A 15,215-nucleotide genomic window follows, 5' to 3' on the forward strand; every position below is an offset into this window, starting at 1 on the left:
TGATGGAACTGGTAGTGCTTGGATATTCTGCATAGTTTATGTTATGTAGTTTTTACCCCTGCCTTTCCTAGAAAGAGTTAAATGAAGCCCCTTAGTCCAGGATGATGCCCACAGCTGGCTGATCTCTGTTCCTGTTCTCCTTGAACTGAAGAATAGGGGAAGTGTTTTATGGCAGCTTTCACACATACAGTGGAGAAGGGGAATATTTTATTTTAAAAGAACTGAAGAAAAGGGTTTTTGTAGCTTAAAAATCCCATTACAGTGAATACTATCTTAAAATGTTTTGTTCCATAAATGTTGAGCCCTTAGCTGGGCATGGTGGCCCACACCTGTAATCCTAGCACTTTGGGAAGCCAAGGCAGGAGGATTGTTTGAGGAGTTTGAGATGAGCCTGGGCAACATAGCGAGACCTCATCTCTACAAAAAATAAACAAATTAGCTGGGCATCGTGGTGCATACCTGTAGTACCAGCTACTTGGGAGGCTGAGGAGGGAGGATTGCTTGAGCTGGAGAGGTTGAGGCTGTGTGAGCCATGATTGTGCCACTGCACTCCAGCCTGGATGACAGAGTAAGATCCTGTCTTTTTTTTTTTTTTTTTTGAGATGGAGTCTCGTTCTGTCTCCCAGCTGGAGTGCAGTGGTACGATCTCAGCTCACTGCAACCTCCGCCTCCCAGGTTCAAGCGATTCTCCTGCCTCAGCCTCCTAAGTAGCTGGGATTACAGGTGCATGCCACCATGCCCAGCTAATTTTCATATTTTTAGTAGAGACGGGGTTTCACCATGTTGGTCAGGCTGGTCTCAAACTCCTGACCTCATGATCCACCCACCTCAGCATCCCAAAGTGCTGCGATTACAGGCATGAACCACCACACCCGGCCTGAGATCCTGTCAAAAAAAAAAAAAAAGATATTGAGTCCATAGAAATAGAAATTGGGTTTTATTGATCCAACAGCTACACATGTTCTACAATAAAACATACTTCTTGCTCCTACAGCAGTCACACTCTGTTAAGAAGATCTTATCTGTTGCGCAGTTTGGAAAGGAGGGAGAAGAAATACCCATTATTCTTACGTTTTACATCAAATAGCCATTGCCTTTTAACTTCCTTCTTCTCTCCCATCAAGCATATCAGGAACATTTGTCCAAGCTTAAACCCTAAAACAAAATAATAGGAAGTTCTTCCTAAAAGAAAGAACTTGGAAAAGAAAGGGGTTGAAGTAGGGAAATTTCAAGGATTTTACCAGTAAAATCTCATTTTAGTGACTATAGCTTTCTTCTTATTCATTTAGTTAGAAAGCAGATAGGCAGTAGTGGTGTTTTATTCATTCATCCAATGATATTTATTTATTCAATAGTTATTTATGACCCAAACACTGTATTTATGTGCTAGAGATTTAGCAATAAATAAAACAGATACAAATCTCTACCCACATGGAGCTTACATTCTCCAGCACTAACAAACTCCTATGTAATTTCCAATAGCTTACTCATAAAAAACATTCTACTGGCATCAAACACCAGAATATCCCAAGGTTCATTGTAATGGGATTATATTTAAAAAGTACCTGAAGTTACTGCCAAATATTGGGCAGCTATAGGAGGTGAACGGAGTGTGGCTTGTGCAGATGATCAGTAATGGGCAAGTGTAATCACATAAGTAAAACTCTTATTCTGTGGGATATGCATGTTGTTTTGAGCCATGACAGTTTTCACAAACTCCTGACTATGTCTCTCTCTTTCTCTCTCTTTTTTAAGTGGAATTCGGTGCGATCTGTAAGTCGTTGTCGAAGCAGGAGTTTAAGTCCCATTTGCCCCCGTAGCCAAATTGGTTTAAACACGGTACATATCTATCTAATCATTTTTACACAAAATTCATCTATGGTTGGCTTTTTTTTTTTTTTGCTTCAGCAATACAAAAGAGGTGATTATAAGTCTACAGGTGGAAAGAGAACCTGTTGCAATAATGCTAGCTCCAAATTGATTTTTATACTACTGTGGGCTAAATAATTTATTATTCTAGAAAGGAGTAGAGTTTTATCTTTCTTTCTTAGTTCAAGGAATAGTAGATTTTATGTATTTCATAGTTTTATTTTTATCTTGGATGAAATGGGCTATTAGAGATCAGATAGTGGACTGAAGAGTGAATGGGATACCATAGTCAACTGATCTTGGCACAAGTCCCTGGTTCCTCTAGAAATTTGTGTATGAGTTTAGAGAAATTACTCAAATGGTCTGGATTTCAATACCTTATAAAGGGCATTGCAGGTATTAATGTGTCCTCAACTTCAAATTAGAAAAAATAAGGTTTTTTTGTGTGTATTAGTTTTTGGAAAGATTGCTAATACTTCTGTTAAAGAAAAAAATAACAGCAAAAACATCATGAAAACTATGAAGATAACATCCCTAAAAACATTATTATGGGCTGGGTAGGGTGGCTGACACCTGTAACTCTAGCACTTTCAGAGGCTGAGGTGGGAGGATTGCTTGAGCCCAGGAGTTTGAGACCAGCTATGGCAACATGGGGAAACATTGTCCCTATAAAACAAAACAAAAATCCTCCCCCAAATTATCTGGGTATAACAAAAAATTCCCCCCCAAATTAGCCAGGCATGGTGGCATGTGCCTGTAGTCCCAGCTACTTAGGAGGCTGAGCTGGGAGGATCATCTGAGCCCAGGGAGGTCGAGGCTGCAGTTAGCCGTGATTGTACCACACTGCACTCTAGCCTGGGTGAGAGAGTGAGATCCTGTCTTAAACAAAAGAAAACAAAACTCCCCAAAACATTAAAAAAATTATGATTCACCACTATTCATTTATTCAACACATATTTAGTCAGTGTCTTTTGAATACAGGGCTAGACCAAGACATGTGGACACCAAATAGGCTAACAATGTGCTGTTCCTCCAAATAATAATTATTTAAATATTTGTCCAACCTTGTTTAGAGAGAGTGGTAGAGAAGGAGAATCACATCCGGCAACCCTACACACTTTTCTGAAATTGCCTCTAGCATGCAGCTGTAGCCCCAAAGTTGCAAAACTTCCTCAGCAAAACAAAAACAAAACCAAAAACCCCTGCAGTTGATGAAACCCAGCTTCCTTACTGACTTTTTTCTTTTATACTTTAAGTTCTGGGTTACATGTGCAGAACATGCAGTTTTGTTACATAGGTATACACGTGCCCTGGTGGTTTGATGCACCCATCAACCAATCGCCTACATTAGGTATTTCCCCTAATGTTATCCCTCTCCTAGACCCTCACCCCCAACCCCTGACAGGCCCCAGTGTGTGATGTTCCCCTCCCTGTGTCCATGTGTTATCACTGTTCAACTCCCACTTATGAGTGAGAACATGTGGTGTTTGGTTTTCTGATCTTATGATAGTTTGCTGAGAATGATGGCTTCCAGCTTCATCAATGTCCCTGCAAAGGACATAAATTCATCCTTTTTTATGGCTGCATAGTATTCCATGGTGTATATGTGCCACATTTTCTTAATCCATTCTATCATTGATGGGCATTTGGGTTGGTTTCAAGTCTTTGCTTTTGTGAGTAGTGCTGCAATAAGCATATGTCTGCATGTGTCTTTATCGTAGAATGATTTATAATCATTTGGGTATATGCCCAGTAATGGCATTGCTGGGTCAAATGGTATTTCCAGTTCTAGATCCTTGAGGAATCACCACACTCTCTTTCACAATGGTTGAACTAATTTACACTCTCACCAACAGTGTAAAAGCATTCCTATTTTTCCACAACCTCTCCAGGATGTGTTGTTTCCTGACTTTTTAATGATTGCCATTCTAACTGGTGTGAGATGGTATCTCATTGTGGTTTTGATGTGCATTTCTCTAATGACCAGTGATGATGAGCATTTTTTTCATATGTCTGTTGGCTGCATAAATGTCTTCTTTGGAAAAGCGTCTGTTCATATCCTTTGCCCACTTTTTGATGGGGTTGTTTGTTTTTTTCTTGTAAATTTGTTTAAGTTCTTTGTAGATTGTGGATATTAGCCCTTTGTCAGATGGAGAGACTGCAAATATTTTCTCCCATTCTGTAGGTTGCCTGTTCATTCTAATGACAGTTTCTTTTGCTGTGCAAAAGCTCTTTAGTTTATTAGATCCCATTTGTCAATTTTGGCTTTTGTTACCATTGCTTTTGGTGTTTTAGGCGTGAAGTCTTTGCCCATGCCTATGTCCTGAATGGTATTGTCCAGGTTTTCTTCTAGGATTTTTATGGTCCTAGGTCTTACATTTAAGTCTTTGGTCCATCTTGAGTTGATTTTTGTAAAAGGTGTAAGGAAGGGGTCCAGTTTCAGTTTTCTGCATTATGGCTAGCCAGTTTTCACAACACCATTTATTAAATAGGAAATCTTTTTTCCCCTTTGCTTGTTTTTGTCAGATTTGTCAAAGATCAGATGGTTGTAGCTGTATGGTTTTATTTCTGAGGCCTCTGTTCTGTTCCATTGGTCTATATATCTGTTTTTGTACAAGTACCATGCTGTTTTGCTTACTCTAGCCTTGTAGTATAGTTTGAAGTCAGGTAGCGTGATGCCTCTAGCTTTGTTCTTCTTGCCCAGGATTGTCTTGGCTAGGAGGGCTCTTTTTTGGTTCCATATGAAATTTAAAGTGGTTTTTTCCAATTCTGTGAAGAAAGTCAGTGGTAGCTTGATGGAGATAGCATTGAATCTATAAATTACTTTGGACAGTATGGCCATTTTCACGATATTAACTCTTCCTATCCATGAACATGGAATATGTTTCCATTTATTTGTGTCTTCTCTGATTTCCTTGAGCAGTGGGTTTGTCGTTCTCCTTGAAGGGGTCCTTCACATTCCTTGTAAGTTGTATTCCTAGGTATTTTATTCTCTTAGTAGCAATTGTGAATGTGAGTTCACTCATGATTTGGCTCTCTGTTTGTCTGTTATTGGTGTATAGGAATGCTTGTGATTTTTGCATGTTGATTTTGTATCCTGAGACTTTGCTGAAGTTGCTTATTAGCTTAAGGAGGTTTTGGGCTGAGACGATGCGGTTTTCTAAATATACAATCATGTCATCTGCAAACAGAGACAATTTGACTTCCTCTCTTCCTATTTGAATCCCCTTTATTTTTTTCTCTTGCCTGATTGCCCTGGCCAGAACTTCCAATACTGTGTTGAATAGGAGTGGTGAGAGAAGGCATCCTTGTCTTGTGCCGGTTTTCAAAAGGAATGCTTCCAGTTTTTACCATTCAGCAAGTATGATATTGGCTGTGGATTTGTCATAAATAGCTCTTATTATTTTGAGATATGTTCCATTGATACTTAGTTTATTGAGAGTTTTTTAGCATGAAGGCGTGTGGAATTTTATTGAATTTATTGAATTTTTCTGCATCTATTAAGATAATCATGTGGTTTTTGTCATTGGTTCTGTTTATGTGATGGATTACGTTTATTGATTTGCATATATTGAACCAGCCTTGCATCCCAGGAATGAAGCCAACTTGTTCATAGTGGATAAGCTTTTTGATGTGCTGCTGGATTCAGTTTGCCAGTATTTTATTGAGGATTTTTGCATCGATGTTCATCAGGGATATTGGCCTGAAATTTTCTTTTTTTGTTGTGTCTCTGCCAGGTTTTGGTGTCAGGATGATGCTGGCCTCTTAAAATGAGTTAGGGAGGATTCCCTATTTTTCTATTGTTTGGAATAGTTTCAGAACGAATGGTACCATTTCCTCTTTGTACCTCTGGTAGAATTCAGCTGTGAATCCGTCTGGTCCTGGACTTTTTTTGGTTGGTAGGCTATTAATTACTGCCTCAGTTTCAGAACTTGTTATTGGTCTATTCAGGGATTCGACTTCTTCCTGGCTTAGACTTGGGAGGGTGTATGTGTCCAGGAATTTATCCATTTCTTCTAGATTTTCTAGTTTATTTGTGAAGAGGTGTTTATAGTATTCTCTGATGGTAGTTTGTATTTCTGTGGGATCAGTGATGATACCCCTCTTATCATTTTTTATTGTGTCTATTTGATTCTTCTCTCTTTTCTTCCTTATTAGTCTGGCTAGCAGTATATCTATTTTGCAGATCTTTTTTAAAAAAACCAGCTCCTGGATTCATTGATTTTTTGAAGTGTTGTTAATGTCTCTATCTCCTTCAGTTCTACTCTGATCTTAGTTATTTCATGCCTTCTGCTAGCTTTTGAATTTGTTTGCTGTTGCTTCTCTAGTTCTTTTAATTTTGATGTTAGGGTGTCAATTTTAGATCTTTCCTGCTTTGTCTTATGGGTATTTAATGCTATAAATTTATCTCTAAACACTGCTTTAAATGTGTCCCACAGATTCTGGTAAGTTGTCTTCGTTCTCATTGGTTTCAAAGAACATCTTTATTTCTGCCTTCATTTCGTTATTTACCCAGTAGTCATTCAGGAGCAGGTTGTTCAGTTTCTATGTATTTGTGTGCTTTTGAGTGAGTTTCTTAAACCTGAGTTCTAATTTGATTGCTCTGTGATCTGAGAGACTGTTTGTTATTATTTCCATACTTTTGCATTTGCTGAAGAGTGTTTTACTTCCAATTATGTGGTCAATTTTAGAATAAGTGCTATCTGGTGCCGAGAAGAATGTATATTCTGTTGATTTGGGGTGGAGAGTTTTGTAGAGGTCTATTAGGTCCACTTGGTCTAGACCTGAGTTCAAGTCCTGAATATCCTTGTTCATTTTCTGTCTCATTGATCTGTCTAATATTGACAGTGGGGTGTTAAAGTCTCTCACTATTATTGTGTGGGAGTATAAGTCTCTTTGTAGGTCTCTAAGAATTTGCTTTATGAATCTGGGTGCTTCTGTATTGGGTGCATATATATTTAGGATGGTTAGTTCTTGCTGCATTGTTCCCTTTACCATTATGTAATGCCCTTCTTTGCCTCTTTTGATCTTTGTTGGTTTAAAGTCTGTTTTATCAGAGATTAGGATTGCAACCCCTGCTTTTTTTTGCTTTCCATTTGCTTGGTAAATATTCTCCCATCCCTTTATTTTGAGCCTATGTGTGTCTTTGCACGTGAGATCAGTTTCCTGAATATAGCACACTGATGGGTCTTGACTCTTTATCCAGTTTGCCAGTCTGTGTCTTTTAATTGGGGCATTTAGTCCGTTTACATTTAAGGTTAATATTGTTATGTGTGTACTTGATCCTGTCATTATGATGCTAGCTGATTGTTTTGCCCATTAGTTAATGCAGTTCCTTCATAGTGTCAATGGCCTTTACATTTTGGTTTGTTTTTGCAGTGGCTGGTACCGGTTTTTCCTTTTCATGTTTAGTGCGTCTTTCAGGAGCTCTTGTAAGGCAGGTCTGGTGATGGCAAAATCCCTCAGCATTTGCTTGTCTGTAAAGGATTTTATTTCTCCTTTGCTTATGAAGCTTAGTTTGGCTGGATATGAAATTCTGGGTTAAAAATTCTTTTCTTTAATGAACGTTGAATATTGGCCCTCACTCTCTTCTGGCTTGTAGGTTTTCTGCAGACAGATTCACTCACTGTTAGTATGATGAGCTTCCCTTTGTGGTTAACCCAACCTTTCTCTTTGGCTGCCCTTGGCATTTTTTCTTTCATTTCAACCTTGGTGAATCTGACGATTATGTGTCTTGGGGTTGCTCTTCTTGAAGAGCATCTTTGTGGAGTTCTCTGTATTTCCTGAATTTGGATCTTGGCCTGTCTTGCTTGGTTGGGGAATATCTCCTGGATAATAACCTGAAGAGTGTTTTCCAGCTTGGTTCCATTCTCCCCATCACTTTCAAGTACATTTTCAGTCAAATGTAGATTTGGTCTTTTAACATAATCCCATATTTCTTGGAGGCTTTGTTTGTTCCTTTTTATTCTTTTTTCTCTAATCTTGTCTTCTCTCTTTATTTCATTAAGTTAATCTTCAATCACTGATATCCTTTCTTCTGCTTGATTGATTTGGCTATTGATACTTGTGTATTCCTCACGAAGTTCTTGTGCTGTGTTCAGCCCCATCAGGTCATTTATGTTCTTCTCTACATTGGTTATTCTAGTTAGCAATTCGACTAACCTTTTTTCAAGGTTCTTAGCTTCCTTGCAGTGGGTTAGAACATACTCCTTTAGCTTGGAGTTGTTTGTTATTACCATCGTTCTGAAGCCTACTTCTGTCAGTTCATCAAACTCATTCTCCATCCAGTTTTGTTCCCTTGCTGGCTATGAGTTGTGATCCTTTGGAGGAGGAAAGGTGTTCTGGTTTTTGGAATTTTCAGCCTTTTTGTGCTGGTTTTTCCCCATCTTTGTGGAATTATCTACCTTTGGTCTTTGATGTTGGTGACCTTTGGATGGGGTCTTTGAGTGGACATGCTAATCCTTTCTGTTTGTTTCTTTTCCTTTTAACAGTCAGGCCCCTCTGCTGTCAGCCTGCTGGAGTTTACTGAAAGTCCACTCCCAACCCTGTTTGCCTGGGTATCACCAGTGGAGGCTGCAGAGCAGCAAAGATTGCTGCCTGTTCTTTCCTCTGGAAGCTTTAACCCAGAGGGGCACCTGCCAGATGCCAGCCAGAGCGCTCCTGTATGAGGTGTCTGTTGGCCCCAGTTGGGAGGTGTCTCCCAGTCAGTATACACAGGAGTCAGGGATCCACTTGAGAAGGTAGACTGACCCTTAGCAGAGCTCGAATGCTGGGCTGGGAGGTTTGCTGCTCTCTTCAGAGCCATCAGGCTGGGACGTTTAAGTCTGCTATAAGCCCCTGACTGGGGCTGCTGCCTTTTTTACAGAGATGCCCTGTCCAAAGAGGAGCAATCTGCCAGTCTGGCCACAGCAGCCTTGCTGAGCTGCAGTGTGCTCCACCCAATTTGAACTTCCTAGCAGCTTTGTTTACACTGTGGCTGTAAAACCGCCTACTCAAGCCTCAGCAATGGTGGACACCCCTCCCCGACCAAGCTTGACCATCCCAGATAGATCTCAGATTTCTGCTGTGCTGGCAGTGAGAATTTCAAGCCAGTGGATCTTAGTTTCCTGGGCTCCGTGGGGATGGGACCCGCTGAGCCAGACCTCTTGGCTGCCTGGGTTCATTGCCCCCTTTCCAGGGAAGTGAACGGTTCTGTTTTGCTGGTGTTCCAGGCGCCACTGGGATATGGGAGAAAAAAAAAAAAGCCCCTGCAGCTAGTTTGATGTCTGCCCAATTGGCTGCCCAGTTTTGTGCTTGAAACCCAGGGCCCTGGTGAGGTAGTCACTGGAGGGAATCTCCTGGTTTGCAGGTTGCAAAGACCATGGGACAAGCGCAGCATCTGTGCCAGAGTTCCTCAGGCTCAGACCCTCACGGCTTCCCTTGGGTAGGGGGGAACATTCTCTGGCCCTTTGCACTTCCCAGGTGAGGTGATGCCCCACCATACATTGGCTTGCCCTCCATGGGCTACACCCTCTGTCCAACCAGTTCCAATGAGATGAACTGGGTTCCTCAGTTGGAAATGCAGAACTCACTTGCCTTCTGCGTTGATCTTGCTGGGGGCTGCAGACCAGTGCTGTTTCTATTCAGCCATCTTGAATCTACTCCCCCTTACGGACTTTAATGAGCATCTATTGTGACTCCTGCATGCTCCTTATCATACATTCTTTCTGGATCTGATGGATGCTTGATTTGGGAGGGACACAAAAATGACAAAAACATGTTATCTTCTCTGAATAGGTCTTAATATAGGAAGATCACGAGACCATGTCCTTTGCAGGAACATGGATGGAGCTGAAGGTCATTATCTTTAGCAAACTAACACAGGAACAGAAAACCAAATACCTTTCTCACTTATAAGTTGAAACTAAATGATGAGAACACATGGACACAAAGAGGGAACAGCAGACACTGGGGACCACCAGAGAGTGGATGGTGGGAGGAGGGAGAGGATCGGGAAAAATAACTAATTGGTACTAGGCTTAATACCCAGGTGATGAAAATCTGTCCAGAAATCCCCCATGACAAGGTTTTACCAATATAACAAACCTGCAGATGTACCCCTAAACTTAAAAAGAAAAATAAAATATAGGAAAGAGAAAGATTATTATGATTTAAACAGATTAGCTGAATGTGATACAGTCAACAAACCAATACATCTATAATATGATACAATATGATAGTCAATAAAAGAAGCAGAAAGGGCTAGAGTCATCAGATGAGATAGAGATTCCTCCCAGATTTGGTCATGAGGAAGGCATTCAATGGGGTGGTAGTATTTAATTTGGTGTTTTAGAATGGGTGGAATTTCAATGGGCTAGGAAATTGGGAAGGAATATTCAGGTGAAGAAAATGACCTAAAAAATGATAGGGAAATGGAAAAGTCATGCATCTGGCACAATCCTTTTGCTCTTAGAGATTTTCATATAGCATCATTATCTTTTTTCATGAATAAGTATTTATGGTAAGTAAAAGCAAAACAATAGTGCACTTAGTAGACTGGTAAATAAAAAGGAAACATTGGGAGCATGATACTGAGAGAACCAGAATTCCTCATTCTAAGAGGAAATGGCATATAAGAAGAAAATACTATTAGACAGTTATTGTGCAACAGCCATGGCAAATTGTAACTCCGGACTCCCATCAAAAGGCTTATTCATGGGCAATGTCCTCTGTGAGAATCCCCTATACCTTCTCTTTCTTTCTCATGTTGTGCTCAGAAAGAACACATTAATTTAAACTTTAGATGAGAATAAAATCTAATCTCAAAGGTATCACTGCAGTCAACTTTCTGTCTGTTTCCATCATCCTCTTGCCACAACAAAACTGGGTATACCTGCAAAATAAAATACAAATATTTTTGGTTAGTTGGGTTTATTTTTGCCTATGTGGGGGTCTTGATTCATCCAGAATGGATTCCATCTTTATCAGCATCTATTTATCTAGAGTGTTTGAAAGCTCAGAGCAAGGATGATGCTTGTAGCCAGTTACGCCTGACCGGCTATGTCACTGACTTGTGGTTCCGGTGCAGTACCTTCTACTTAGTGAAAGTAAAGGTGAGATTTGAAAGATGAAGATTTTCTGGTTGCCTGGTGACCCTTCTTAATAGAGCAGAGTTTATGACTTATAATTTTTATAAAGGATCTCCCAGATATTGTATCATCATTTTAGCTTTAATTTGTGAGTTTTAATAAATATTTTTATTTTCTGGAAAGCACTGAATTCAGTATGGCTGCTCTTAGGCTACTGAACCCAGCTTTTAACTAATAATATAATTTAAACCAATACTTCAGAAGTCTAAAAAGAATCACAATAGTCAACCTTAGGGTGAAAAATCATAGTGCTAAAGTGCCTCAGAGAAAGCTATTTGGTTGGTTTTAGGGAAAAAAAATATGTCAAAAGAATTCATCCTTTGAGCTCCGTCTACTATGTAATTCACATTATTCTTTTATATTTTCCAGATGTCTCGAAGTCGGAGTCCTTCTCCAATAAGATGTGGATTGCCAAGTAAGTGGGATTAGTTCAGATGGATCAAATTTTCTGCTTTTTAATACTCCTTCTAGTACTTAGCACTGAGCAGCAAAATGAATGCTTTGCTTCCTAGAGAGCATCTTTTTCTTACTCCTCACACCTTTCATGTCTGGGCCTCTGGCTGATGGTACCCAGGCAGGTCCCATGGGTCATGTAGAAGGAGCTTCCAACCAAGAGGCTTCATTGCCATAAACCTAGATTAACCGCCTCTTTCATTTAGGTGCTTCCAAAAGAAAATCGAAGAAAGTGACCATAATAATGAACTGTCTATTTTTCTCCCTAGGATTTTAAAAGCACCAGACCTGCTCCTTTGACCCAGTGCGTGGAAACAGCTGCTTTCTCCAGTGCCGCCATCTGTCTTCTGTGTCTGCCTCAGACCTCACTTAAGATAATGTCAAAAGGCAATTCTGTGTATCACCCCACACAGAGAGTTAAATGTTTTGGCTTGGCGCATTTGTAACTTTAGATATATTGCATTCTATTTTATTTTATAGATACTAATTCCATTAATTTCATAAAAATGATTGTATAGGCATTTAGGATCATATTCATTCGAAGCAAAGTCCGTTACAAAGGTTCAAGATTTCCATCTCAAAACACTACGCTCTTTTATGGGAACTGTGTGAACTGAAGTGGAAAGCATCTACCATGCTGAGGCTAAAAGAAAAGATGAATCATTTTAGTTTGCAGATGGATCGTAAATATAATTGTTGGTATCAGCTTTAGCTCAAAACCAATATTAGGTGTTTTAATTTCCTTTTAAGGTTTGGAAGACAGCCCTAATCTCAGGTTGGGGAGCTCATGTTAGTAGCAGTGACTTAAGGCTAAGTGTAGAAGATAATTTAAGATACATTTTCTTTATATATTAGCCAACAAATTATATTTATTGGTTGGCTTGCTTTTCCGTTCTGATTTTGAGAGTGCCCAGTTTGGTTTAGTTGACCAATGAATGTCAAAGCTACTTAGTTGAGAGAATTTCCTTGTTCATAAATGTAGAGCAGTGATTTGATTAGAAGCCAGCTTTGAGATAAATGTTAATTACCTCATGCATATCTCCTGGGAATATTTCAAACTGTTTTAATGCATGTGTTATATATAAAAGTTTCTTGGGACATGCTCTTCACCTGTTCTACCTAGTTATTTGCAAATTCAGACCTCCTATTGAACTCTGTCTGACCAAAACTACTTAAACTCAAGGCCCAAAACTAGGGGCACCATTTACTGATTTTAAATTGAGTATATATCCCTTGACTTCTTCACTGTCAAATACTTTTGAAACTTCACGTTCAAGATAAGAATGGAATGTTGCTTTCTTGCAATAAGTAATGTTCTTTCTGCCTTTTTTTCACTTTTAAGTCAGCCTTAAACACATGCCTCACAAACATCTACTTTCTCCACATACCTTTGAGAGAGACACTGAATTGGCCTCAGCTCAGTTTTGCATAAGCTTAGTGCCAGAACCAGCACCTGATGCTTTTCAGGTGAAAATAAAACAAACAGCTTCTCTAAAGCATCTTACCCCTGTGCTGGAGGTTTGAGGGACCTCTTCAGTGCCTGCCCCTTGAGTCTAATGGTCACCACCTCATTCTGAAGTATGAGTTGAATTTTTTGCCCTCTTTGCATATTTACATTAGTCATCACTTTGAAGCAATGCAGTGTGCTGGAAGGAGCACTATCTGCCTAGGTAACTGCTAGTCATGACTTGGTCATCAGCTTGCTTTGTGGCACTGAGCAAGTTACTTCACTTCTCTGAGCCTTGGTTTTATCATAGGGTGAGGAGGTTGGATACAATTAGTGCCCCTCTTAACCCTGCAGACTCAATGTTCCCTTTTATAACAAGTATTTTATTCTGAATATGAAATGAAAATTAAAGTTAATATAATCATCTATGTGCATGTATAATTTTAAGCAGTGAACATAGTACCCTAACTATAATATAAAGCAGAAAAAAAGGCAACTTTTAATAAAATAAAATGTATTTCAATAAAAAAGCTTGGGTATAACCACCCTAGAAGATAAAATTAAGTCATTAGATGGCTGAACCTGCATGTAGAGCCACCAGCTACAAATGAAAATCAATGTGTGTATTGGCAACAGAAAATCACGGTGTTGTCATTGGATGTGACTTTCTGAAGTGGTGGGCAATTCTTGTTAATGTTTTAAACAAAAAAAAAAAAACCTTACAGTCTTGCCCTGATTTACACAGCAGTCACATTCCTGGAAAATTCAAGTGTTTATTAAAACTATGCAACAGTTACTGTGTGTTATACGTTGAAAGGTCTTCACTAATATCTCACTAAGTAATGAGAATGCCTACATATCAGAATTTTTTTTTTCAGGAGCCAAGCACATATACTGATTTGGAAAAAGGCACAGGTAGCTCAGTTTATTTGCTTTCTACCCTGCCTGGCCACTTGCTGTTTCTTCAGTTTCTAATTTGAGCTGTAACTACACAAGGAAAGCTAAATAGTCTGGAAAATTTTTGGAAAGAATCCACAAAGCCAAAGGAGACTGGCCTATACTCATTTTATCTGGGGATGTACCTTACCCTTAGAGACTTTGAAAAATGTGAAGCTCTTATTTTGTAACCTGGGTAAATGTTAGTTTCTAGATTTTCGGCTTAACATCTAATAATAACATTTAAAAAGTGCTTTTGTAACTATTAGTTATTTGCAATAAAATGCTTTCCTTCTACAGTCCCAAGTTCAATGATGTCCTTTACCCATCTATAATCTCTGTATTAGTCCATTTTCACACTGCTATAAAGAACTACTTGAGACTGGGTAATTTATAACGAAAGAGGTTTTTTTAATTGACTCATAGTTCTGCATGGCTGGGAACCCTCAGGAAACTTACAGTCATGGCAGAAGGTAAAGGAGAAACAAATGCCTTCTTCACAAGTTGGCAGCAGAGAGAGCGCAAGGAGGGAACTGCCAAGCGCGTTTAAACCATCAGATCTTGTGAGAACTCACTATCACAAGAACAGCATGGGGGGAACTGCCCCCATGATCCAGTCACCTCCCACCAGGTCCCTCCCTCGACACATGGAGATTACAATTTGAGATCAGATTTGGATGGGGACACAGAACCAAACCATACCAATGTCTGTGGTCCAAACCAGGACCATAAATTCATTCAGAAATACTTACTGCACCCTGCGCTGAGGAAGACCATGGGATTGCTGCAATTCCATATGGTAGCCTTAATTGCTAGCTTTATTTTATTCACAGCTCATTGTCATGTTCAAGACACTCTCTCTGAGTAGTGCTTTACCATTTTGTGGAGCTTTCACTTACATTATTTCACTTACCATGGCAATCAAGGTGTGTCAACTTTATATGTAAGGAATCTGTTCATCCGATACACTATTCAGTCTTGTTCCAAGACTGACTTTTATTTCAGAATAAGATTCTGTCCTGTTCTTTTTGTTTCTTCATGACATACATTATCAGTTTTTCTGTTTATTGATTGTTCATTTATTCATTCATAATCTTATTGAATACCTCCTCTGTGCTACCCATAATACACACTTCTAGGGATATAGTGGTGGACAAGGCTCTGGTTTTTATGAGTTTTATGTCATGTTCAGTTGCATTCCTTGGTGATTTTTGTGTCGTAGAGAGCAGATATGAAGGAAGAAATCAATAAAATAAGAGTACAGCAAAATTAAAAGAGAAAATGTTATATATCAGTTGAAGGATTTAAATACATGAATTTATGGAGCAAATACCTGTACATAAAAAAAACTTTGAAAGGTAATAGTAGAAAAGTAGTATGGT

At 39.2% G+C, this 15,215-nt stretch overlaps 1 protein-coding gene across 13 annotated transcripts in view; it reads left to right on the forward strand.

Annotated features, from left to right (window-relative positions):
- The window catches only part of SPATA18 (spermatogenesis associated 18), a 45,996-nt gene extending 31,857 nt beyond the window's left edge, over positions 1–14,139 (forward strand). For 11 of the 13 annotated variants that reach the window (NR_123728.2, NR_144359.2, NM_145263.4 and 8 more), the window contains 3 exons: positions 1,756–1,839; positions 11,367–11,412; positions 11,720–14,139. Coding sequence is in view for 10 of the 13 variants with exons in the window: in NM_145263.4 (NP_660306.1) it covers positions 1,756–1,839; positions 11,367–11,412; positions 11,720–11,727 (138 nt within the window). In the remaining 3 variants the exon portion in view is untranslated. Of the gene's footprint in view, positions 1–1,755; positions 1,840–11,366; positions 11,413–11,719 lie in introns of those variants that run through there. The other 2 variants (XR_007096360.1, XM_005265717.3) reach the window with 2 other exon arrangements.

The sequence above is a fragment of the Homo sapiens genome, chromosome 4 (assembly GCF_000001405.40).
Source record: "Homo sapiens chromosome 4, GRCh38.p14 Primary Assembly".
NCBI lineage: Eukaryota > Metazoa > Chordata > Mammalia > Primates > Hominidae > Homo > Homo sapiens.